Source organism: Homo sapiens, chromosome 2 (genome assembly GCF_000001405.40).
Source record: "Homo sapiens chromosome 2, GRCh38.p14 Primary Assembly".
Lineage (NCBI taxonomy): Eukaryota > Metazoa > Chordata > Mammalia > Primates > Hominidae > Homo > Homo sapiens.
In genome coordinates, this window is record NC_000002.12 from 169,693,742 (window position 1) to 169,717,695 (window position 23,954).

At 42.0% G+C, this 23,954-nt stretch overlaps 3 protein-coding genes and 1 long non-coding RNA gene across 13 annotated transcripts in view, besides 2 other annotated features; 2 read left to right on the forward strand and 2 right to left on the reverse strand.

Annotated features, from left to right (window-relative positions):
- Positions 1-664, reverse strand: part of CFAP210 (cilia and flagella associated protein 210) — a 48,981-nt gene extending 48,317 nt beyond the window's left edge. For all 4 annotated transcript variants that reach the window (XM_047443327.1, XM_011510590.2, NM_001085447.2 and 1 more), the window contains exon 1: positions 520-664. Coding sequence is in view for 1 of the 4 variants with exons in the window: in NM_001085447.2 (NP_001078916.1) it covers positions 520-586 (67 nt within the window). In the remaining 3 variants the exon portion in view is untranslated. The remainder of the gene's footprint in view (positions 1-519) is intronic.
- Positions 447-626: an enhancer, noted in NCBI's record as "active region_16742". NCBI's record gives its function as "activates an Ori minimal core promoter by ATAC-STARR-seq in GM12878 lymphoblastoid cells {active_cell/tissue: GM12878}" and the evidence as "EXISTENCE:reporter gene assay evidence [ECO:0000049][PMID:35858748]".
- Positions 728-7,967, forward strand: PHOSPHO2 (phosphatase, orphan 2). Of its 5 annotated transcripts, NM_001199287.2 has the most exons (5): positions 728-881; positions 1,474-1,506; positions 3,620-3,790; positions 4,124-4,241; positions 7,205-7,967. In NM_001199287.2, exon 5 carries the CDS (start codon positions 7,231-7,233, stop codon positions 7,954-7,956), a length of 726 nt encoding a protein of 241 aa, NP_001186216.1. In that variant the 5' UTR covers positions 728-881; positions 1,474-1,506; positions 3,620-3,790; positions 4,124-4,241; positions 7,205-7,230; the 3' UTR covers positions 7,957-7,967. The 5 variants fall into 5 exon arrangements, with proteins under 5 accessions (NP_001186216.1, NP_001186215.1, NP_001008489.1 ...); NM_001199286.2 differs by lacking the exon at positions 4,124-4,241 and having other exon boundaries at positions 728-1,000; NM_001008489.4 differs by lacking the exon at positions 4,124-4,241.
- Positions 728-23,954, forward strand: part of PHOSPHO2-KLHL23 (PHOSPHO2-KLHL23 readthrough) — a 57,410-nt gene continuing 34,183 nt past the window's right edge. For both annotated transcript variants that reach the window (NR_144936.2, NM_001199290.3), the window contains exons 1-3: positions 728-881; positions 1,474-1,506; positions 3,620-3,790. The gene's annotated coding sequence lies outside the window, so the exon portion shown is untranslated. The remainder of the gene's footprint in view (positions 882-1,473; positions 1,507-3,619; positions 3,791-23,954) is intronic.
- Positions 757-1,036: a silencer, noted in NCBI's record as "silent region_12082". NCBI's record gives its function as "represses an Ori minimal core promoter by ATAC-STARR-seq in GM12878 lymphoblastoid cells {active_cell/tissue: GM12878}" and the evidence as "EXISTENCE:reporter gene assay evidence [ECO:0000049][PMID:35858748]".
- On the reverse strand, positions 13,628-23,649 carry LOC124906089 (uncharacterized). 2 transcript variants are annotated; one of them, XR_007087288.1, is made up of 2 exons: positions 23,168-23,649; positions 13,628-22,661 (listed from the first exon to the last, which is right to left on the reverse strand). It is a non-coding gene; the product is annotated as an uncharacterized LOC124906089 (long non-coding RNA). The 2 variants fall into 2 exon arrangements; XR_007087289.1 differs by having other exon boundaries at positions 13,628-22,706.

Below are 23,954 nucleotides of genomic sequence, written 5' to 3' on the forward strand. Positions count from 1 at the left end.
ACTTAGAGAGAGACCTTATATTTACTTTAGAGAGGAGGAAATGGAGATATTTCCTTCAGAGACTTTTAGTAAAGACCAATCAGCAGGTTTGCAGAAGAGCCAAGCCTCTAAAGAGGTGACTTATATTTCCAAGAGATATTCCAATTCAATCAGTGAATAACAAACTTTAAGCGTGCGGGAAATTTAACAAAACCCAGACTCTCAGAGCTGCAACTGCGCAGTTTTAGGTCAGCTGGGGCTGGGGGTGGGGGTCTCTGATTTCCTATCTTTTCTCCACCCCTATTTCTGTAAACATTCTCCCACCCACTTCCACTCCCCGTTTCCCTCCTTCACCCATTCACCTGAGGGCAAGACGGCCTAACTTCACACAGAGCCCAAAGATGCTTATTGAGGATGCTTTCGACCTGGTGGAGTCCATTTCAAAAGGCAACTGAAGCCCTCATTCGGCATCCTCGCCTCTCACTCCATGCCGGGGGTCCAGAAACAATCCCTGTCCCTGGATAGGTCAGTTTAGCTCACCTGTACTTTCCTTCGCCCGTCCACAGCGCCGTCCAAACCGTACCAGCATCTCTGACGAGGTGTCCATGATGCTCCTAGATCTGGAAAAGTGACTGTGGCGCCAAGCGCCGCGGACGCCAGCCGGTGGAGTTGTTACTCGTACCACGCGGTTGCTTGGCAACGCCGCCGGAAGTGACGCCAGCCGTAGCCGAGGAACAAGGGAGGTGCTGCAGTTGGCGGTCGGGCTAGAGAAGAGAGGCGCCTGCGCTTGCGAGCTGGGCTTGTGAGTGGGGCTGCCGAGAGGGCAGGCGTGGGGCGAGGCCAAAGGACTGAACCCGCAGGAGCGTCACGGGCGCCGGGGCGGCTGCCGACGGCGGGACTGGGTCAGTGAGAAGCCCGTGGGCCCCCGCCCTGCCTGCTACTCCCATCCCCACCTGCGCGCTCCCCATGGGGGACGACCCCCGATTGGGTCCGATGCCTACCCTCGGGGTGGAGCCGGCAGGTGTGTGAGCGCGCGAGGCCTAGGCGTGGTGTGTGCGTCCGCAGATCTCCTCGCGGGTGGAGTGTGAGGAGCAAAGCCCTCCCTTAACTATAAAAACCCGCGGATTCGCTGACATAAACGCTGTTTTTTTAATCCTTTGGTTTCTGAGGCATGGTCAGGACTAGATGGGGCCAAGTTTTTTAAAAATAGGAATGTTAAAACGTAATGATATGCTTAGAATATTTACGTTAGGACCTTTGAGATATTTTAAATTTCTTGGTAAATACATGACCACAGAAATCTGTTAGGAGTAGCTGCGCGTTTGGTTTCAAAAGATGCTTTTCTAACACATTGATGTACAGATAACTTCATTACTAACAAGTTGGCTCTGACGTGTACACATAATGCACCAAATTGGAGTCTCTCAAAATGAAAGAACAAAAAGATTTTTAATAACGAATGTTCTAACACATAGTCGTGCTATTTTTCTTTAGGTTTTCTATCAGATGTTCCACGTAATAATGCTGGTAAGTATGGAATAATTAAGAAAATATTTGAAGACAGAAATTAGTTTGTGCACATACAGCGCTGGTAGGTTTTTGGAACTATACCTTAAAAAGTGTCAAGAACTGGGGGCCAGGCGCGGTGGCTCACGCCTGTAATCCCAGCACTTTGGGAGGCCGAGGCGGGCGGATCACGAGGTCAGGAGATCGAGACCATCCTGGCTAACACGGTGAAACCCTGTCTCTAGCAAAAATACAAAAAAATTAGCCAGGCGTGGTGGCGGGCGCCTGTAGTTCCAGGTACTCTGGAGGCTGAGGCAGGAGAATGGCGTGAACCTGGGAGGCGGAGCTTGCAGTGAGCCGACCATCGTGCCACTGCACTCCAGCCTGGGCGACAGAGCGAGACTCCGTCTCAAAAAAAAAAAAAGTTTCAAGAACTGGGAAGGAACAGAGATTTTTACCCTGTTTGCAGGCTAACTTAGCCTGGCAGTTTCATGGAAGACACAAGACTATTCATTTCAGGAATGAATTACTCCCAGCAGTAGCCAGTAAATCAGCAATTTCGCCTGAGTTCCCTAAAGCCCCAGTTCCCACAGGATAATGCAAAGTGGGCAAGAAGTCACCTAGATGTAGTGTGTGTCGAATTACAGGAAAGGAGCCCTGAGCTTAGGGAACCCAGATCTTTATCATTTGGACAAATAAGCATGTTTCTCAAGGCTGTCCAGTGTACAAACATCCTTGAGACAATAGTCTAGAGGAAAGGGCAGTCAGTAAGACATGCAGAACCACCAGAGACGCAGGGAAAATTGTCTCCCAACAACAATTTTCTGGAATTTTAACAAAATTGGTTACAAAAGTATTGAATCTCATGATTTGATGTCAGTTACTTGCCAATTTGACATGGTGGTCAGATATAATTTGACTTCAGACTCGAGATTCCAGCTCCAACCTGTGGATTGTCACAACCAAGTCAATCTAGAGTTATTTGTCCTATACCCACCACTCTTTTATTTCTTTGTTGTGAATTTAATAAGGTAGCATATGCACTCTGATCTGAAACAGAGTTTAAATTATTCTGAGAAGAAAAAAATTTTATTACAAAATTGATGTAGAAAAAGTGTGAACTACGGTTGAACCAACCATAACCATCCCACTGCACATGTAAACATTTTCTAAAACAAAAACAGGATTATACTGTACACACTATTTTGTGACTTGCTTATTTAATTTGAACTGAATATCTTGGCTTTTACTGGCTGGATATTCTGTTATTTGCTATCACATGCATATCTTACTTAATTATTTCCCAATTCTTGGATGTCTGTGTAGTTTTTAATTTTCATTATTGTGTAAAGTATGCAGGATATTGTTACACTATGGAAACATTGCAGACATACCAAATAGACATAGATTGTGCTTTTGAAGAGAACAGTTAACTTTTTGGAATTTTAACAAATTGGTTTCAAAACAGATTCACATTCTTAAAACTAAATCTTTGTTCATATTCTTAATTTTTGGAGACATTTTAATTTCTAGTACAGCACTAAATGTCTATTGACAACAGAATGTGGAACTCCTCTATTATTAAACAAGTACAAAGAAAAAATGGACTCTGAAAATCTCAATCAGCTTAACACTGATTTTATCCACTGGACAAAAACTTATTTTCACATAACATTTCTTATTTTCGACACCAAGTCGATACCAAGTGGAAAGCAAAACTTTGTTCTCCTATTGCCAAAAGATGCTTTTCTGACATTAGAAAAACAACATAATTAGAAAATACAAAAAAAAAAATTTTTTTTTTTTTGACACGGAGTCTCGCTCTGTTGCCCAGGCTAGAGTGCAGTGGCGCGATCTCGGCTCACTGCAAGCTCCGCCTCCCAGGTTCATACCATTCTCCTGCCTCAGTCTCCCAAGTAGCTAGGACTACAGGTGCCCGCCACCACGCCCAGCTAATTTTTTGTATTTTTAGTAGAGATGGGGTTTCACTGTGTTAGCCAGGATGGTCTCCATTTCCTGACCTCGTGATCCCCCGCCTCGGCCTTCCAAAGTGCTGGGATTACAGGCGTGAGCCACTGCGCCCGGCCTGAAAATACAAATGTTAAAGCTTTTAAAATACTTTTATTAATTTTAGGAGTTAAGAAGTTTCCATTATTTTGCTCCAAACCAGAAGACTCTGTTCCCTGTATATAGAATAGGAGTAATATTTGAAAACAACTGGCTGATGTTTAAAACTGAAGATTGTCATGATTGTTTATCCTAATCCCAATGCTGAAGTAAGATTGTCTTGGAAATACTAAGTTGGGTAAGTATTTTTTAAAGGTTTATGTTGAGTGGTGAGAAAATACTAACAGAAAAAGATGGGAAAATTTTAAAAGTGCACTTTCAGATCAGCAGGGGAACTATGTTACCTCAGTCTCATGCTATTTTGAGGCTAATAATTCAGGAATTTCAGTAATTTGTGGCTAATTAAGTTTAGGTTTGAGGCAGTTTTCAAACAACAGTGAGTTACATTTGAAATTTGTTTTAATTATAAATTCAGAATTCTCAAAAAGCATATTTAATTTAAAATGTGCCTAGTTACAGTACTACTGTGATTGTCAATTATGCCTTATTATTTATTACATTGTTTCTGTAGGAAAGTGAATTCTGCATTTAAATTTCAGGGAACCAGTCAGAAGCATCTGGATTAGGCATTTAGTGATACAAGGATCCAGAATAACAAAAACTATGTACCAGCCACATTCACACAACAGGTGATACCCCTATAGGTTAATTATTCTCTAGATATTCTAAATTAAGAGACACAGAATACTTAGTCTTATGTGAGTCAAGAGCTCTATTCTGTCTTCACTACTGGGTGTCTACTGTTATAAACTGGAGAATATGTGTGGTTAAATGCCATGTTTTTCATTTTTAATTGATCTTTTTCTTATTGCTGTGGTTCTTTGCCTTTTTAGGATTTCTTGTAAAAACCTCAAAATGGTTATAAAGAGTATCACAGATGTGGTGTTATGGTTAGTGTGTACTTTGAAAGTAATGAATGTTTTTATGTAATTAAATATCTTTCTGCCAAAATTACCTACTTAGTGTTATATTTTTAAACTAATGAGTAGTCATTAAATATTCTATTTTTTAACACTAGAATTTGGTACTTAAAAGCATGAAGTCTGGAATCAAATCAACCTAAGATTCCAGCTCTGGCACTTTACTAACACCTAACCACTTCAAGATCCAGCTTATATATCTTTAAGATGAGGATAATAATGATTCCTACTTAATAGGGTTGTGACAATTAAATGGTATGATATTGCAAAGTTTTTAGGTCAGTGCCTGACATATAATGACTCTCAAAATTATTATTATTATCTGTTTACACACATTAATTATATCCTTTTCTGGATATTCTATATAGTTATTTTTTATAAATAATGTTTATTCTTACCATCAGTTGACCAGCTTATTCTTTCCTTTTCTCTTGAGATTTATAATTAATCACCTTCATTATATTCTAATGAAAACAGAGACATAAGTAATTGTCACACCACAAACAGTATGATTACTCAGGTGTATTCAAATTATTTGGCACCCCAGAGCTAAACTATCTAGAGCAGCTATAAATAAACATGTGAAAACTCTTAACCAAGTTACTTCTAGTTTGGAAGAATTAAATTGGCCTCCAGTTCTCAGGTAATTTGTTTAGAATATCATATAGAGTGTCAGCAATCATTTACTTATAATATTGATATTTAGAAATTGATTTTAAGCTAAATACTTTTTTAATTTTTTTGATTTCCACCTTTTAAGTTCAGGGGTACATGTGCAGGATGTGTAGATTTGTTACATAGGTAAGTGTGTGCCCTGATGGTTTGCTGCACAGATCATCACATCACCTAGGTATTGAGCCCAGCATCCACTAGCTGTTTTCCTGATGCTCTGCCTCCTCCCACCCCCACCCTCTGACAGGTCCCAGGGTATGTTATTCCCTTCCACGTGTTCTCATGATTCAGCTCCCACTTATAAGTGAGAACACATGGTGTTTGGTTTTTCTTGTTGTTGTTCCTGTGTTAGTTTGCTGAGGATAATGGCTTCCAGATCCATCCATGTCCCTGTAAAGGACATCATCTCATTCCTTTTTATAGCTGCATAATATTCCATGGTGTATAAGTACCTCATTTTCTTTATCCAGTCTGTCATTGATGGGCATTTAGGTTGATCCCATGTCTTTGCTATTGTGAACAGTGCTGCAGTGAACATACGCTTGCATGTATCTTTATAATAGAATGATTTACATTCCTTTGGGTATATACCCAGTAATGGGATTACTGGGTCAAGTGGTATTTCTGCCTCTACGTCTTTGAGGAATCACCACACTGTCTTCCACGATGGTTGAACTAATTTAATTTACACTCCTACCAACAGTGTAAAAGTGTTCCTTTTTCTCCACAACCTTGCCAGCATCTGTTATTTTTTGGCTTTTTAATAATAGCCATTCTGACTAGTATAAGATGGTATCTCGTTGTGGCTTTAGTTTGCATTTCTCTAATGATCAGTGATGTTGAGCTTTTTTTTCATATATTTCTTGGGCACATGTATTGTCTTCTTTCCAGAATTGTCTGTTTGTGTCTTTGCCCACTTCTTAATGGGGCTGTTTGTTTTTTCTTGTAAATTTGTTTAAGTTCCTTATCAAGGAACTACATGATTCTTATCAAAAAGGATTTTGGACAGATTTTATGGGCAGAGTCTTTAACTATTTGGGAGCTAAAGGTGTAAGAGAAGATAAAATGAAAAGAGCAGTGACATCGATGCCTTTCACTTCAGGGATGGTGGAACTTTTCAACTTTATAATAGTTGCTGGATATTAGACCTTTGTCAGATGGATAAATTGCAAAAATTTTCTCCCATTCTCTAAGTTGTCTGTTTACTCTGTTGATAGTTTCTTTTGCTGTGCAGAAGCTCTTTAGTTTAATTAGATACCATTTGTCAATTTTTGCTGTTGTTGCATTTGCTTTTGGCATCTTTGTCATGAAACCTTTGCCTTTGCTGTGTCCTGAATTGTATTGCCTAGATTTTCTTCTAGGTTTTTTATAGTGTTGGGTTTTACACTTAAGTCTTTAATCCACCTTGAGTTGATTTTTGTATATGGTGTTAAGGAAGGGGTCCAGTTTGTTTTCTGCATATGGCTAGCCAGTTATCCCAGCACCATTTATTAAATAGGGAATCCTTTCCCCATTGCTTGTTTTTGTTACTAAATACCTTTTCTTAAAAAGTTATTTTACATCTTCCAAGATTTCATGTTATGTTAAATTTGTTCAGAATTTTGGTTAGTACACAGAGAGTCCTTTATACATGATCTGTTATTTAATATGAGGATTGTAAATATTTTAATCTAATAAAATAAGTGTGGTTTGATTGATAATTTAATGATAGTAAGAAATGCTTTTTTTTCTTTCTTATAAATTCTATAAGAAACACACCTCCAGGAACACAATAATACTATGAATGTCCTTTTTATATATTTTGTTTTCCACTTAAAATACTCAAATACGAACTTTGCTTCTTAGAGAAAAGTGGTTAGGTAGTGGTCTTGAAGTGCTTAATTACTTTGTTTATATTCCTCCCTTTAGCAGATTAACATTTAGTTATGTTTATTAAATAAGTATTTTAGCTAGATATGTAAACAGAGTTTGTTTAGGGAATAATATTTCTTCTTTTTCAGGGTAATCCAAATCTATTTCTGGAACCATGAAAATTTTGCTAGTTTTTGACTTTGACAATACAATCATAGATGACAATAGTGACACTTGGATTGTACAATGTGCTCCCAACAAAAAGCTTCCTATTGAACTACGTGATTCTTATCGAAAAGGATTTTGGACAGAATTTATGGGCAGAGTCTTTAAGTATTTGGGAGATAAGGGTGTAAGAGAACATGAAATGAAAAGAGCAGTGACATCATTGCCTTTCACTCCAGGGATGGTGGAACTCTTCAACTTTATAAGAAAGAATAAGGATAAATTTGACTGCATTATTATTTCAGATTCAAATTCGGTCTTCATAGATTGGGTTTTAGAAGCTGCCAGTTTTCATGACATATTTGATAAAGTGTTTACAAATCCAGCAGCTTTTAATAGCAATGGTCATCTCACTGTTGAAAATTATCATACTCATTCTTGCAATAGATGCCCAAAGAATCTTTGCAAAAAGGTAGTTTTGATAGAATTTGTAGATAAACAGTTACAACAGGGAGTGAATTATACACAAATTGTTTATATTGGTGATGGTGGAAATGATGTCTGTCCAGTCACCTTTTTAAAGAATGATGATGTTGCCATGCCACGGAAAGGATATACCTTACAGAAAACTCTTTCCAGAATGTCTCAAAATCTTGAGCCTATGGAATATTCTGTTGTAGTTTGGTCCTCAGGTGTTGATATAATTTCTCATTTACAATTTCTAATAAAGGATTAATATGTCAGCAATTGAAAAGTGTATCACTTAAGATTAGGTTCAGCAGCATAAAACTAAAACCCCAAATACCAGAGGCTTAAAAAAAAAAAAGAGAGAGAATTTTTTTTTCCTCTCACATGAAAGAATTCCAGAGGTAAGTATTTCAGGGTTGCTGTGTTAGTCTACCAACCTCAGCACTTGGCATTCAACCCATGATCCAAGGTTGCTGGTGAAGCTCTAGCCCTCACAGCAGCACTCTGGCCAGCAAGAAAGAGGGCAGTGAGAAAGTTACATCCCCTGTCTAAAGAAATTTCCCAGAAGTTGTACCCAACACTTCTATTTAAATGTCACTGGCCAAACTTAGTCATAATGCCTTACTTGTAAATAGCAAGGAAGGATGGAAAATATAGCTTTCATTCCAGGTAGTCATGTGCCCAGGAAAAGTTGGGGAAAAAAGTACAGAATTGAGTTAGGTACAGCTAGTGGTCTCCACTAAAGGTGGTTGATAGTTTATATTTTTTAATTTATTCCTGGAGCAAGTAAGCATATTTTATTCTCTTAGATATTCCTCCTTTTTTGAGACAAGGTCTCTGTCACCCAGCCTGGATTGCAGTGACTTGATCTCCGCACATTGCAGCCCCAACCGCCTGGGCTCAAGTGATGCTCGCACCTCAGCCTCCTGAGGAGCTAGGACTACAGGCTCGTGCCATCATGCCAGCTAATGTTTTGTTATTTTTTGTTAGAGATGAGGTCTCACTACTTTGCACAGATCTCAAAATCTTAGATTCAAGTGATCCTCCTGCCTTGGTTTCCCAAAGTTCTGGGATTACAGGCATGAGCCACTGTGGCCAGCCAGATATTTATTTTAAAAGTATATCCAGTAGTTACAGATCTTAAAAAATAAAGTCTGATGCTTTATTCACATAAGAATAAAAGGCTACCAAATTTATATAATATCCTCCCAAACCAGTGTATTTTAAAGATAGGGATGCAGTATCTATTGTTGAAGTTTTCATCAATTTCAGGCTTTCCGTTTGAAGTGAAGTACATATTAATGTCCTTCAGATATTCTAACTTCATATCATAGCACCATAGACAACTACAGTAGCTAGTTTAATCGGTGTGTTGTTTATATTTGGCAATGCAGTTTTGAGCAATTCAATACTGTATGTAATTTGCAGGAATACTCAGTATTTAAGACTTTCATATAGGGATATTAGCAAAATATCAACTGATCTAAAATGTTTTATAAGTCCATGCTAATTTCTAGATTGATGTTTTAGCCATAAAAATGCAGTATTTAATAATATTTTATTTTCCAAATTATGGAAAGCTTCAGAAATAGAAATATTCAATATAATTAGTACTCTCTAATCTTTTTTCTAGGTTGAAAAATCTTTGTTTTGCTTTAGGTTAGATTATGTTGAAACACATCTGTGTTTCAGATGTGTTCAGAGCTGAGGTCTCAGCTGAGGCTCCACTGAAGCAGGATTCACTTCCAAAATAACAGAGTTGTTGCCAATATTCAGTTCGTAGCAAACTACTGGAACAAGAATCTGTTTTCTTGCTGAGTGAATTTCTTGCCATGTGGCCCTCTCCAAATGCTGGACATAAAAAAGTAGGCTGAGCACAATGGCGCACACCTGTAATCCCAGCAGTTTGGGAAGCCAAAGTAGGAGGATCGCTTGAGGCCAGGAGTTCAAAACTAGCCTGGGCAATATAGGGAGACCCCCATCTCTACAATAAATAAAAATAAAAGCTTTCATTTACAATGATGGTAGACCAAGAAATTTGTCCTAGATCTTCACTGAGAACATCTAGAAAAGCTGGCAGCTGAACAAAATTTTAAAAACATCTGGGCTGGGCACGGTGGCTCACACCTTTAATCCCAGCACTTTGGGAGGCAAGGCTAGGGGATCACTTGAGCTCAGGAGTTTGAGAACAGCCTCAGCAACATAGGGAGACCCCATCTCTTAAAAAAAAAAAGATAAACTAAAAATAAATTAATTAAAAACACCTGGTTGAAGACATCAGCGAGCTGGCAACAATGAAGAATTCCTAAGGAAACAGAAACTTTGTTAGGGGAGCTGTTTTCCCTTGTGTTGGCCAATTCTGTGAGTGGTAAGTGATTGCTGAGCTGTTGAATGGCCATTTTGACAACCTTATGGGACAAGGAAGAAGGGGCCTGCACTGGTAAACCCTTTCCCTTACTTGGAGTGAGGATCCCAAATGGCTACTCATTAGGAGTAACAGTGGTCCAGAAGTAAGCAGGCCTTCAAAGGGATGGCAGCTCAGCTTCAAATACCCTCAGTTTCTGAAATTAGATTGAGGTTATCTAAGGTTTTTAGAGCTCTCAGATGCATGGCAGAAGCAAATCTACATTTGCTTTTCAGGAAGAAATTAACATCCTAGGTGTGGCAGACAGACTCTAAGGTGGCCACTATGATCCCTGTCCCCTGGTATTCCTTGTGTGGAGGGAGACTCCCATGACTTGATTCTAATCCATAGACTACCACGAAGATGATGAGATGGACATGATTACAGCAAATTCTAATGTTCATCTTATTAAGAGACTCTTGTTGACTTTGAAGAAGCAAGCTGCCATGATGTAAACCAGCCTTTGGAGAGGGCCTCATGGCAAGAAACTAAGGGTGGCCTCTAGCCAGTAGTCAGCAAGAAAACAGATCCTTGTTCTAGTAGTGTGCCAGGAACTGAAGATTGCCAACAACCTTGTTATTTTGGAAGTGAATCCTGGTTCAGTGGAGCCCTAGCTGAGACCTTAGCTCTGGCTAACACCTTGATTGCAGTCTTTTGAGACCAGGAAACAGAAAGAAGCCAGCTAATCTGTGCTTGGACTCCTGACCCACAGAACCTGTGAGATAATAAATGTGTCTTGTTCTTAACACACCAGATTTGTGGTAATATTGTTACACAGTGTAGAAAACTAACAAACTAGGCCTCAAAATAAATCTATAAACAGTTTTGCAGGTACACTGTAGAACACACAATAAAAAGTAGCCACAGAAAGAGACATGAGTGAATACCAGCAGGAGCTTCTATTTAAACATCTGTAGGGACCTCCAGATATTGGAGTTTTCAGAGACAAGCTTAAAAAAAAAAAGAAAAAGAAAATTAAACTTACAAGAATTTTGGCAAAGAACTGAAAATTATATTAAAAACAAAATGAAACAGCTAGATGGGGGGGATAAGTTCTAGCATTCTTCTGCACTGTAGGATGACTATAGTTAATAATATATATTTCCAAATAGAGGATATTGAATGTTCCCAACACAAATGAGAAATGTTTTGAGTTGAAGAATATGCTGATTTCCCTGATCTAATCACTGTGCAGTAAATGTATCAACATATCACCATATATGCCATAAATATGTACAATTATTTTGTGTCAATTTAAAAAAAATTTTAAAGGAAACACTAGAACTGAAAATTAGCATGCTTGAAATTAGGAGACTGATGGATAGAATTGACAGAACAGGCATAGCTGAAGAAAGAATTGGTGAATGAACACAAATTAGAAAAAAAAATCCAGAATGATGCAGAGAGACAAAATAATAAAAATACAAAAGTTGAGACATAGATTTAGTAAAAGATCTAACAGAGGAAATTTATGTCCCAAGAGAGGAGAGAGAAAATGAAACATAAGCAATAGTTTAAGAGATAATTATTGGCTGGGCGTGGTGGCTCATGCCTGTAATCTCAGCACTTTGGGAGGCCTAGGCAGGTGGATCACAAGGTCAGGAGATCGAGACCATCCTGGCTAACATGGTGAAACACCACCTCTACTAAAAATACAAAAAAATTAGCCAGGTATGGTGGTGGGCGCCTGTGGTCCCAGCTACTCGGGAGGCTGAGGCAGGAGAATGGTGTGAACCCGGGAGGTGGAGCTTGCTTGCAGTGAGCCGAGATTGCACCACTGCACTTCAGCCTGGGGGACAGATTGAGACTCTGTCTCAAAAAAAAGAAAAAAAAAAGATAATTATTAAAAACTTTACAAAATTGAAAGATAGATCCTGAGGCAGGACTTGGGTAAAACAAACAAACAAAAAAATACAAAAAATATATTTAAAAACTTTGTAAAAAAATTGAAAGACATCAAACTTCAGATTCAAGAACGCTTATAAACCCCAAACAGGATAAATAAAATGAAAACCACATGAAATTACACCATTGTAAAACTGCTGATAACCAAAGATGGAAAAAGTATAAAGAAGCCAAAAGAAATATTACTTTGAAAGGAGCAACAATTAAGCTAATAGCTGGCATTTTTTCTTTCTTTCTTAAATGCTTGATAGAATACAACAGTGAAACTATCCAGACCTGGAGTTTTCTCTGTTGAAAGGTTTTAACCACGAATTCCATTTCTTTTACGGATATAGGACATTGTGAAGCTTTTCTTGAGCAAGCTTTGGTAGTTTGATTGTGTTAATTATCTATTGCTACACAATAAATTATTGCAAAACTTAACAGCTTGGAAAAATAAACAGTTATCTCAGTTTCTGTGGGTCAGGAATTCAGGAGCATTTAGCTCAGTAGTTCTGGCTCAGGATCAAGAATGGGTCAAGATGTTAACTAAGGCTGAAGCCATATGAAAGCTTGACTGGGGCTAGAGTATCTGCTTCCAAGGTGGCCCACTCGTGGTTTTTGGCAAGAAGCCTCATTTCCTTATTGGCTATTGACAGGAGGCCTCAGTTTCTCACTGATAGAAAGGCTCAAGGTATTGCTGATTGGCAGAAGGCTTCATTTTCCAACTACATGGGCCTCTCCATAGTGCTGATCAAGTATCCTTAAAAAAAGAAAAGGTAGCTGTTTTCTTGCCAAGTGAGTGAGCCAAGAGAAAGGGCAAAGAAGAAACCACAGGCCAGGCGTGGTGGCTGATGCCCTTAATCCCAGCACTTTGGAAGGCCGAGGTGGGTGGATCACCTGAGCTCAGGAGTTCAAGACCAGCCTGGCCAACATGGAAACCCCATCTCTACTAAAAAGTAGCTGGGTGTGGTGGCAGGCGCTAGTAATCCCAGCTACTTGGGAGGCTGAGGCAGGAGAATCGCTTGAACCCGGGAGGCGGAGGTTGCAGTGGCCGGAGATTGTGCCTTTGCACTCCATCCTGGGCGACAAGGGCAAAACTCCGTCTTAAAAAATAATAATAAAAATTAAAAAAGAAGAAACTACAAGGCCTTTTGTTACCTATATCAGAAGTGGCAGAGGCCGGGCACGGTGGCTCAGGCCTGTAATCCCAGCACTTTGGGAGGCCGAGGCGGGCAGATCACGACCATCCTGACTTAACACGGTGAAACCCCTTCTCTACTAAAAATACAAAAAATGAGCCGGGCGTGGTGGTGGGCACCTGTAGTCCCAGCTACTCGGGTGGCTCAGGCAGGAGAATGGCGTGAACCTGGGAGGCGGAGCTTGCAGTGAGCCGAGATCGCGCCACTGCACTCCAGCCTGGGCAACAGCTTGAGACTCCGTCTCAAAAAAAAAAAAAGGTGGCACACCATTACTTCTGCCATATTCTGTTTGTTAAAATAGAACACTAGTCTAACCCACACTGAAAAAGAGGAGAATTAGACACCACCTTGGGGTGAATGAAAGTCAAAAAAATGTGTGGACATTTAAAAACCACTAGTGTCACTTGAGGACTTTGTTCATTTGGTCAAAGTAGTGAAATTTATGAGCATGTTTTTCATAATGTTCTTTTATTAACCCTTTAATTTTATAGCATATGCCTATATGCCCACTATCTAGATTCTACCATTAACATTTGACTCTTCTTGTTTTGTCATATATCTATCTATTCTATGTAGCCATCCTTTTTTTTCTTCCGCCTTTTTTACGTAAGTATTGTCTTTTCTCTTTTCTTCTTTGCTCCCCAGTTGATTAAACCAGTGTTTCTCTGGGGCTGATTGGGACTCAAGTGTCTTCCAGCTTTGTGTGAGCTCTGGGAATTGTTTAGCTTATAGTTCCGAGGGTCATTCTCTGCCCAGACTTACTGGGTTTCATCCTACACAAGTATATCTTAGTATTCAACCACAGACTCAAGGGGACATCCTCCCTTGCAGATTTCTGGAACTCTTTCTTGATTTACCTTCTTCCTTTCTGGTACTCTGCCCTGCAAATTCCAGCCACTTTTGCCTCCCCAAACTGATCTCCATTCCTTCAACTCAACAAGACTACTGTGGTCTGTTTGGGGGATCCCCCCCTCCCCGCACCTTGGGCTGGAATGTGTCTCCAGGCAAAAGTACAGGCAATTATAAGGCTCTCCTCATTTGTTTCTTCTCTCTCAGGGACCACAGTTCTGTACTGCTTGTTGACCAATGCTTGAAAACTGTTATTTCATATCTTTTGTCCAGTTTTTAAATTATTTACAGTGGGAGGATTAGTCCAGTCCCACTTCCTCCAGAAAGAGTAATTCTGGAATCTCATTTTTATTTTCTAATGCAACATAGTGGTAAGACCTCCACTCTGAATTAGAAAGACCTGAATTTGAATTCTAGCTCTGAATTGAATAAATAGCTTCTTAATATTGTGGTTTTCTTTTAAGTGGGGATAATGAAATTCCCTATCTCCTGAGATTATTGTGAAGATTTACTGAATTAGGCATTGTATTAATTTACTGTGGCTGCTGTAACAAATTACTACAAACTGGGTGACTTAAAACACAGTTTTGGAGACCAAAAGTCCAAAACAGTTTCACTGAGCTGAAATCAAGGTGTCAATAGGACCACGGTCCTTCGCGGGCCCTAGGGGGGATTCATTCCTTGCCTCTTCCACCTTCTGATGGCCACAGGCCTTTGGCTTATGGCTGCATCACTCCAATCTCTGCCTTCATAGTTACATTCTTTTCTCCTCTTCTCTCTGTATCAAATTCCCCTCTGCCCCTTTCTTATAAGGATTGCATTTAGGACCCGCCCAGATAATCTAGGATAATCCCCTCATTTTTAAGATCCTTAATCACATCTGCAACCCATTTTTCTTACAAGGCAACATTTACAAGTTTCAGGGATTAGAACATGATGTCTTTCTGTGGCCATTATTTAGCCTACTACGAGGTGATAAAGCATTTGACACACATTCACTAATAATCAAAACATTTAACAAACACTACAAGGCACCAAGGCACCAACCTATCAGATAATAATCACCAACTAATAAGAATGGATGCTGGCCACAAACCCCCCTAACAGTGCCTTTGGCTGAATAGCAGCCCTGTACTTGCCATATGCCAGCATCTCACACATCCTATACACCGAATAAATATGAGTTCATTGAGATCCGACTTAAGTCATTTCTACTACTTCTTAAATGTCTGGGCATGTTCTTTGGTCATTTATTTGCAGGGTCTTGTGTTCTGCTTCTCTATTTGTCTGAGTACTTCATATAGGGAGGATGCTAACATTCGCATATTTGTGACAAATGTTTGCATTATATTGTGTTAATATTTTCTAAATCTTATACTTGATTATATGTATCTAGATAATATGTTCTTAACCTTCATTTTTAAATATATACATTTAAATTGAGTATATGGCTTATTATCTCATTAGGTTGTATTAAACTTAATGAAATAAATATACTGATATACACTAACTAGGCTTTTTGAATGCAAGATTCTTCTTTAAATCTTTTTCTTTGCAAACAAAAGGATCTCTGTTTTCCCCAAAGATAAGCAAATTTGTCATGGCCAGTTTTTATTATGCTTAAACATGCACTTATAAAATAGAGATGTTAGAGTTAAATGTGAATTGCAAAGACTTGTTTTTTTTTTTTTTTTTTTTGGAGACAGTGTCTCTGTAGCCCAGGCTGGAGTGCAGTGATGCAATCACAGCTCACTGCAACCTCAAACTCCTGGACTTAAGCAATCTTCCAGTCTCAGCCTCCCAAGTAGCTGGGGGAATACAGGGACACACCACCATGCCCAATTTATTTATTTATTTATTTATTTAGCAGAGACAAAGTTCTCGCTATATTGCTCAGGCTAGTCTCAAACTGCTAATCTCAAGCAATCCTCCTGCCTCAGCCTCCCAAAGTGCTGGGATTACAGGTGGGCATCACTGTGCCTGGCTGAAAAGACTATTAAAGTCATGATAGGGTTGGATAGAGAAGTAGAGTATAGAAACCTCTTGTTTGTCACATGAGTCTCTTTAGGACAGTTGTAGTAGGCAGAATTCTAAAATGGTCCCCAAGACTTACCCCCACTGTACACACCCTGTTACTGTAAATTTGATGTATCTACTACCTTGACTAGGTTACGTTTTATGGCACAGTTGACCTAATTATCCAGGTGGACCTGCCCTAATCAGATGAGCCTTTTAAAAGCAAAGAATTTTCTTGGCTGGTTGCAGAAGAGAAAGTCAGAGAGTTGAAGCATATAGGCCATTGCTGGCTTAAAGATGGACGCAGGTATGTAGTAAGGAATGTGGGCAACCTCTAGGAGCTGAGAGCAGTTCCTGGATGACAGCCAGCAAGGAAACTGGGACCTCAGTCCTGCAAGGAAATGAATTCTGCCAACAACCACTTGATCTTGGAAGAGGACCTCAAGCCTCAGATGAGAAACACAGTCCAGGCTGACACCTTGATTATAGCTTGGTGAGACCTTTGAGCAGAGAGCCCAGTCACATTATGGCCTTACTTATGACCTACAGAAACTGGGAGATAATAAACTCTTGCTTTAAATTGCTACATTTGTGGCAATAGAAAACTAATATCTAATTCCATCTCTCAAGGAATAGATAGCCTAATTTCACAGGCATACTTTTTTTGTAATTATGTGTTTAGCAATTTATACTATAAAATACTGAATTGTTTTTTATCCTTCAGACTAAACACCAAGCATCATTGTGATGTGTGAAGAGATGCTAGTTAAAATGTATCTGCCCTTGAGAGTTCTAAGGGTGATCTAATTTTTCTGCAAATCTATTTTTTAATTTTTAATAATATGAATATGATTTTTTTTAAATGAAAAATTTAAAGAAATAACCACCCCACAATCATCTACCAGTGAATGGGCCAGAGAAGAGCTGCCAGACAAGATTGACTACATAATCATTAGGCCCAGAACACAGTGAAAATGCAGCATCCCTTGTTCAAAAAAATTATTAAGAATTTCAAGACACGGCAGCAGAGCATTAAACCAAGAGTGGGGTCCTTCTGAACATGGGGTCCTATGTGATGGCACAGGTCACAAAACCATGGAGCCAACCAGCTCTGTGCCCAGACCTTCTCCAGCACCTTCCAGATAAAAGCTTAACTAAGAGCTACATACTTTCCAAAGGCACCATTGCTTCTTCACTGGGTGACATTTGCAAAATAATTGCCCATAATGCCACCATCTAGGACAATGAGATCCTTTCAGAATTTTCTCCAAGCTTGTATGTGTATATGGATGTGTGTTTGTGTATGTGTCTCTTTGACACAGGTGGATTGTTCTTAACAATTGTTGTACTATTGTGTCACTTAAAATTATAGCAGGAGTATTTCTCTGTATTAATAAATAGTATTTAAGAATAAAATTTAAATATTTACATATTTCCAATCTTTTATATAAGAAAATCTCAGCAAGGTCACAGAACTAAGTAATAAAAGGATACTTCAAAAGCAGGTTATCTTGAGTCAAGATAACTAAATTCTAGTCCTAGCTCTAATAGCTAATTAGCTGTGTGACTTTTGTAAATAATTTCACTTTTCTGGAACTCATTTTATTTTCTGTAAAATGACTAGATTAATGGATTTTTATCCCCCTAAATACTTTCCAGTTCTAAAATTCTATAATTCCAGTATCATTATGGATTTGAGTGGTCTCTAGGTCTGGCTATGGCTATAAGGGGCTTTTAAAATCTATCCTTTGAATGAAACTAAGTCATTATCCAATTTTTAAGGCCTTTAGAAGGAGGTTTTTGTTTTACTGTAATTTAAAACCATTTGGGGGTCAGCCTTTGTCGTGTTCAGTGTCAGGTTCCAGCCCAACTGAGGGCTGAGGGAGTGGGTGGATGTGGGGCAGGGAGCTGGAAGAACACTCGAGAGACACCAGGTAGATGAGACATGGCCTTATTCAGCAGCCCCCACACCTGCAGCTGCATGGCCAGCTCTCCCTTGGCTTCAGGGTCAGTAGCTTAACTGTTTCTCTGGGCACAAGTGAGCCAAGCTGTGTCCTGGCTCCCCCACCGTCTGTCTGCAAAGGACGGCTCTGACTCTCTCTCCCAGTGCACCAGCACAACGTCAACAGGGCAATCATACATTTTACAGACAATAGTGGCATAGAGCCAACTGATGGCCTTCCCATGTATGGCTACATGGCTGTGATAACAAGTGGAGTTATATGCCTGCGCTCTAAACCTGCTGAGTCACACAGGATGTAAACATCCTACCTCGGCCTATCCTTAACCAAAGCACAGCCATGTTCCTTACACTCCACCCCCTAGGCCAAGGGAGACATAGGCCTTGGATACAGGTTATATGCATAAGCTTTGGGTACATAGGCTTGATATACACACACAAGGCCTTATACATAAGTTTTGGGCACACGAGTTTGATAAACAGGCTTGGCACACAGGCCTTACATTCCACCCCCTGGAATGAGGGAGTTCTTTTAGTGGGGATCCATGCACATAGGGCAGCACCCTGAACTCATAGGTCACAACAACAATACAGAGAACAACAACCTACTATAAATATTCCTGTTACGTTACCTATGATTATTAGAGCCCAGCATAGGGTAGTGCCCAGAGGCACCCACTGTCTCTGCAGAGGGTCATCAGTAAGGTGCTCAATAGCCTTAATCTCCTGTGACACCCCTTGTAAAGCTACCATTATGTTCTAGTGGATGTCAGGGATAAATGTACAAAATTGTGTCCCTCCAAGGGCACAGGTGCCACCCTGAGCAACTGTGACTATGTTTAAGGCCATCCGATTTTGCAGCACCACCTTCCTGATCTGATCAACCTCATCAGTTAGCAAAAGGAGAGCAACTCGGGTGTAATTCAGGGCCCGAGCTGTGTGCTCTGCAAGGGCTGTAACTTGCATTTCTATAGTAACGACACCTGCTCCAGGGATAGTTATTGCTAAGGGGTGGAGCCACCAGAGGGTGGCAAAAACTGGGAACGCAGTGCCTCCCAGTTATTCGGGCAACTAGGCAATGTGGGAAGCACAGTGGCAGGCACAGAAAACCACCCCCAAGTAAAACATCCAGTCCAATTGGCTGGTAGATATCGCCATTTGGTTTATGGGCCCCACAGACCCATAAACTCTCAGGGGGCACAAAGTCCATTGGAGCCCAGCCTTGGTAAGGCCGCTTGTTCCACAACACCCTTGGTGTGGTGACATGTTATGTTTGCACAAACCTCAGCAGGCCACCATCCCACAGTGACTTCACCCCAGTGCTGCTCTATGCATCGTGGTACCTGCGATGGGGGCACCACGTGTTCTCCCATTAGCCAGCCCCACCCATCATAGACACTACGAGTCAGCCAGGGGGCAGGCTTGCCATGGGTTTTGCGACACCCCCTGTCCAAAGCCTGCCGTGTTGCATCCCACCAATTGTCTGTGGAACCACAAGTTTCTAGTCGTGTCCAGTTTTTCACAGAAGCTGGGTGCATGTGCCAGGGCAAGCCATCCACAGCTGCTGCTGGAAGGGTAGTACAGATCCAACAGTTGGAGACATTGGTCACCTCAGCGTAGGTGTGGGCCCAGTCCACAATGCAGTTGGAGCATGCCAACCTACGGCCAGAATGACAAAGTAGGCACAGATACTAACAAGGGTAAATCATGTCCCTTAGGCCAAATGCAAGCCAACTTTTATCTCTAGATAACAATGTAGCTGCCAAGGGCTTCTGCCCTGGGTGATGGTACCACACCTTATCAGCTGCTTGTGGTTCTTTTGGGTCCTGTATCCATGCCAAAGTCACAAGGGAGCTCATAATAGGCCACACAGACAGTACATATGTTCCCCCCACCAGAGGAGGGTTCCTTTCCTGGCTATTCCCCTACGAACAGTCAATCATGGAGGCCACACATTAAATACCCAGGGAATAACATATAAGTCATACTGCAGACCCTCCCCCAAGGGGGCTATGATAGCCAACCATCTGCAGTGAGGGGCTTGGAGGGTCCATGGCTAACACCAGGTTTTGTTTGTTTGTTTGTTTCCCTACCTTTAGGGGCATTGGGGCAGGCAATAACAGATTGCCGTTTGTCCCCATACCTGGTTGGAGAGGGTCATCCTTCCTCTCATAGATCTGGCCACATGGCCTGGCCCTACATGGGCTGGTGACTAACTAATTCTGTAACTTTCAGGTAATTAACCACAATGTTAAGCGTTGATAAACTGCCCAGCATTGGTGTAGATTACCATGGGTGTCACCTCCTTGGTGATCCTCATCCGTGTTGCCCTGAGCTCAACTTATTAGCTACTTTGCCCACTCTTGGTATCAAACCATATAATGTCAGTAGTAGGCTGGACTGCAGCAGCAATCCAGGCAGCAGCAGTACTCTGGCTAGACCTGTCTATATATTATGCCTCATCAGGAATGGGGCCGGGGGTGCCTCAGGCTCCATGGCCTTATCTTGCATGAGGACTACAGGCCCTAAGACCTCTTGTAACTCTGCTGCTAAGGGACTTGTATTCAGTGTACTTCACTGCTCTAAGTAGGTGCCCCACTTTGATAAAGTGCTGTCCCAGTCTGTGCTGTCCCAGTCTGGAAGGGTCGCTACCCATGAACGTAGCAGCCATCCTGCTATTGGGTAAGTCATCTGCATGATGACTGTAGCCTGTTCTGCCATGCTCTTATGAGTCTGAAGGGCAGCATATGCAGTTACTAACTGCTTCCCAGTCCAGGGGGTCATTATCCATGAACATACCCATCCTGCTATTACTAACTGCTTCTCTATCAATAAAGACAAGCTCAGCTCCATAGTTGGGGCCAAAAGCCTACTGGCATACTCAAGCACTCCGTGCACTGCTATAGGCCCTAACTGAAACTATCTGTGGTCACATGCACATCTAGCCTAAATGGGCACCTCTGATCAACTACCCATAGGGCTTGTGCCTGCTAAATAGCCTGCTTGAGATAGCCAGGACAGCTGTCTCAACCTCACCATCCAATCCCAGGCAAGAGGGGCATTGTCGCTTTCAAATCTGCAAGATAATCGGAGGTTAATATGACATTATCAATAAAACGATGACACATGGTGGGGCTATGCATCTAGCCCTGCAGCAACACTGTGAAAGTCCATTGTCATCCTCCCATGAAGGCAAGCTGTTCGTGGCTCTCTGGAGCAATGTCAGTGGAGAAGAATGCATTATTCACATTCATCACAGAGTAGTACTGTCCCAGTTCCGTTGTCAAGCGGTTCATCAAATCCATGATGGAGGGTACAGCTGCATGCTGAGAGGGTGTTACTTTATTCAGTTCCCGATAATCCACTGGTATTCGCCCAGTTCCATCAGGCTTTCTGACTGGCCATACCAGGGAATTGTAGGGGCTATGGGTGCCATGCACTATTTGCACCTCCTCTAACTTCTGAATAGTCTCAGTTATGGCTGTATGCCCCCCTGACAAACAGTATTGATGAGTGGAGGTATCCTGTTGGGGTTGTGGCAGAGCTTGGGCTGGTGATGTGTATTGTCCCTGCAGTATCAGCTTTACTGCACTAACTCAGAGCCTGAATTCTCCAGCCATGGTGTGCAAGTCCAGACCATGCAAAATGTCCACTGCCAGAATATATTCAGGTATGAGAGAGACATACACAGTGTATAGGCGGAGAGCCAAGTGGCTGATGCCAAGATAAAGAGACACAGGTTTCACTTTCACTGACCAGCTTTCATAGCTGGTAATAAATGCAGCTCTGCCAGAAAACTTATCCGGGTTCCCATAAACTAGGCTGCAGTCTGCACCAGTATCTACCAGTGCTAGGACCCGCTGTGACCCACTGTACATTAGTCGGGGACCAGCGGATTACTAGCACCACATACAGCCTCTGGTTGTCTGGTTCCCCACACCGAGCTGCATATCTCAGCCAGTTCCCTAATCAAACAAGAAAGGCTCCATATCTCCGCCTGTCTGCAAACAGTCCTTGAGTTGCGGTGTCCAGGCGGGAGTGGGTTGAACAACATTGCTTCACCCCCCATTTAAGCATTCTCCGGAATTGCTGCTCTGGGGACAGTTGCCTCCAAAGAGCCAAGAGCATTCCATTGGGTTGCCTGTTAGTTTTCTCCGGAGCAACCCCAGCTGCAAGTAAATCAATCCACATCTGCATGCAGGTCACCTGCCAGGCTGCTTTTTATCACATGGGATGGTTATCTGCGGAGGGGGCACCTTCCCCTTCTTTCTGGCACGGGTTCCCCGGTCCAGCTGATGCCTTCTGCCTCCCCCAGGACTGCCATAACAGTAGTCACTTCATGTATGTGGCACCCCACATATGGGGTGAGAACAGCAGCTAGAGAGTCAAAAGCACTCGGGGGCAATGAGCCCAGCACAAGACTCCTCATGTGCGAGGTAAAGTGTTCATCATCTGGTCCCCGGGTGTTTAGATCAAACAGCCTGCTGCATACCCAGCTCTCAGAGTATCTGCACCAAATTAGTATATGACTGCCATTTACTCACAGTTTCTGGTATCTTTCTGGCGTCATTCCAAACAGTCCATATGGCTGCCATTAGCCACTCGATTAACGTGTGGTCATCCTGCCCTTGTGCTAACTGTCCACACAGCTGCAGCTGCTGATGAAGGGAGGGATGAGTTGTGATAGAATCCAGCTTCTCCCTCTCAGAGGCAGAGCAAGAAATGCTGTCAGTTCCCTAGGATACTGCCGACACTGTTTACCTAATTCCTGCAACTCAGTGGGGGTATAAACACTATAAGAGGTGTGTTCCACCACTGTGTGGCCAGGGGATAGGGGTGGGGGTCCCTGGGCTCTCCCCTGGGGTCCCATCAGCTGCTCATGGTCTATCTTCTGATGGATCACAGGGCGAGCCCGCAGCAGAGAAGCTGCCTCCTCCTCAGCATCAGACCCAATGGGAGTGTCCGGCCAGGAGGACTGGCTGAAGGTCGCGCTGACAGCTGTTGCTAACTCCTGTTCCAGGTTGTTTATCTGGGCCTCTAAGCGCCCTGCTTGCACATGGAGGTCCCTCTCCACACACCCCACCCCCCCACCCCGCCCCAGGTTTTGCTCCAAGCTGTGCATTTGGGCTCCCGGGCACTGGGCTTGTGCCTGAAAGTCCCTTACCTGTGCTGTGTCCTGCAGGGACTGAGCATGAAACTCAGTTTCTGACTGAATCAGAAACGCCCATCCGACTCTGCCGGCAAAGGTCATTCCTTCTTGGTGCTGTGAGCTTCCAGATGCTTCTCCACACTCATGGGAGACCCATTCACTGCCTCCCACGTTTCCACTGGGGCCTACCCGAGCAGCATCTCTGCCACGGGGTACCACAGCCCATGCTGTGGCCACATAGCCAACCCGGGAGCCTCAGGGGCTGAAGACCTACTCACCTCATCCTGCTGACTACACCAAGTATGCTCAGGGTTAGGTTCCAGCCCCAGCTGAGGGCTGAGGGGAGTGGGTGGATGTGGGGCAGGAAACTGGAAGAACACTAGAGAGACAGCAGGTAGATGAGACATGGCTTTATTCAGCAGCCCCCACACCTGCAGCTGCATGGCCGTCTGCAAAGACAGACAGCTCTGACTCTGTCTTTCTCTGGGTGCCAGCATGCCTGCACAGTGTCAACAGGGCATTTATAGCTTTTACAGACAATAGTGGCGTAGAGCCAAGTGATGGCCTTCCCGTGTTTTGACTACATGGCTGTGATAACAAGTGGAGTTATACGCCTGTGCTCTAAACTCACTGAGTCACACAGGATGTAAACATCCTACTTTGGCCTATCCTTGACCAAAATGCAGCCATATTTCTTACAGCCTTGTTTGCCATTTCTTATCATATTAGATTGTAGACTTGAACTTTACATATTGCTTAGTTTTCTTGTCTTTGAGGTAATTTCCTTATCTGGCACGATATT

Bases quoted from the DNA above. Each gene is read 5' to 3' on its own strand.
- PHOSPHO2 (NM_001199286.2), top strand. From the start codon at position 7,231: ATGAAAATTTTGCTAGTTTTTGACTTTGACAATACAATCATAGATGAC.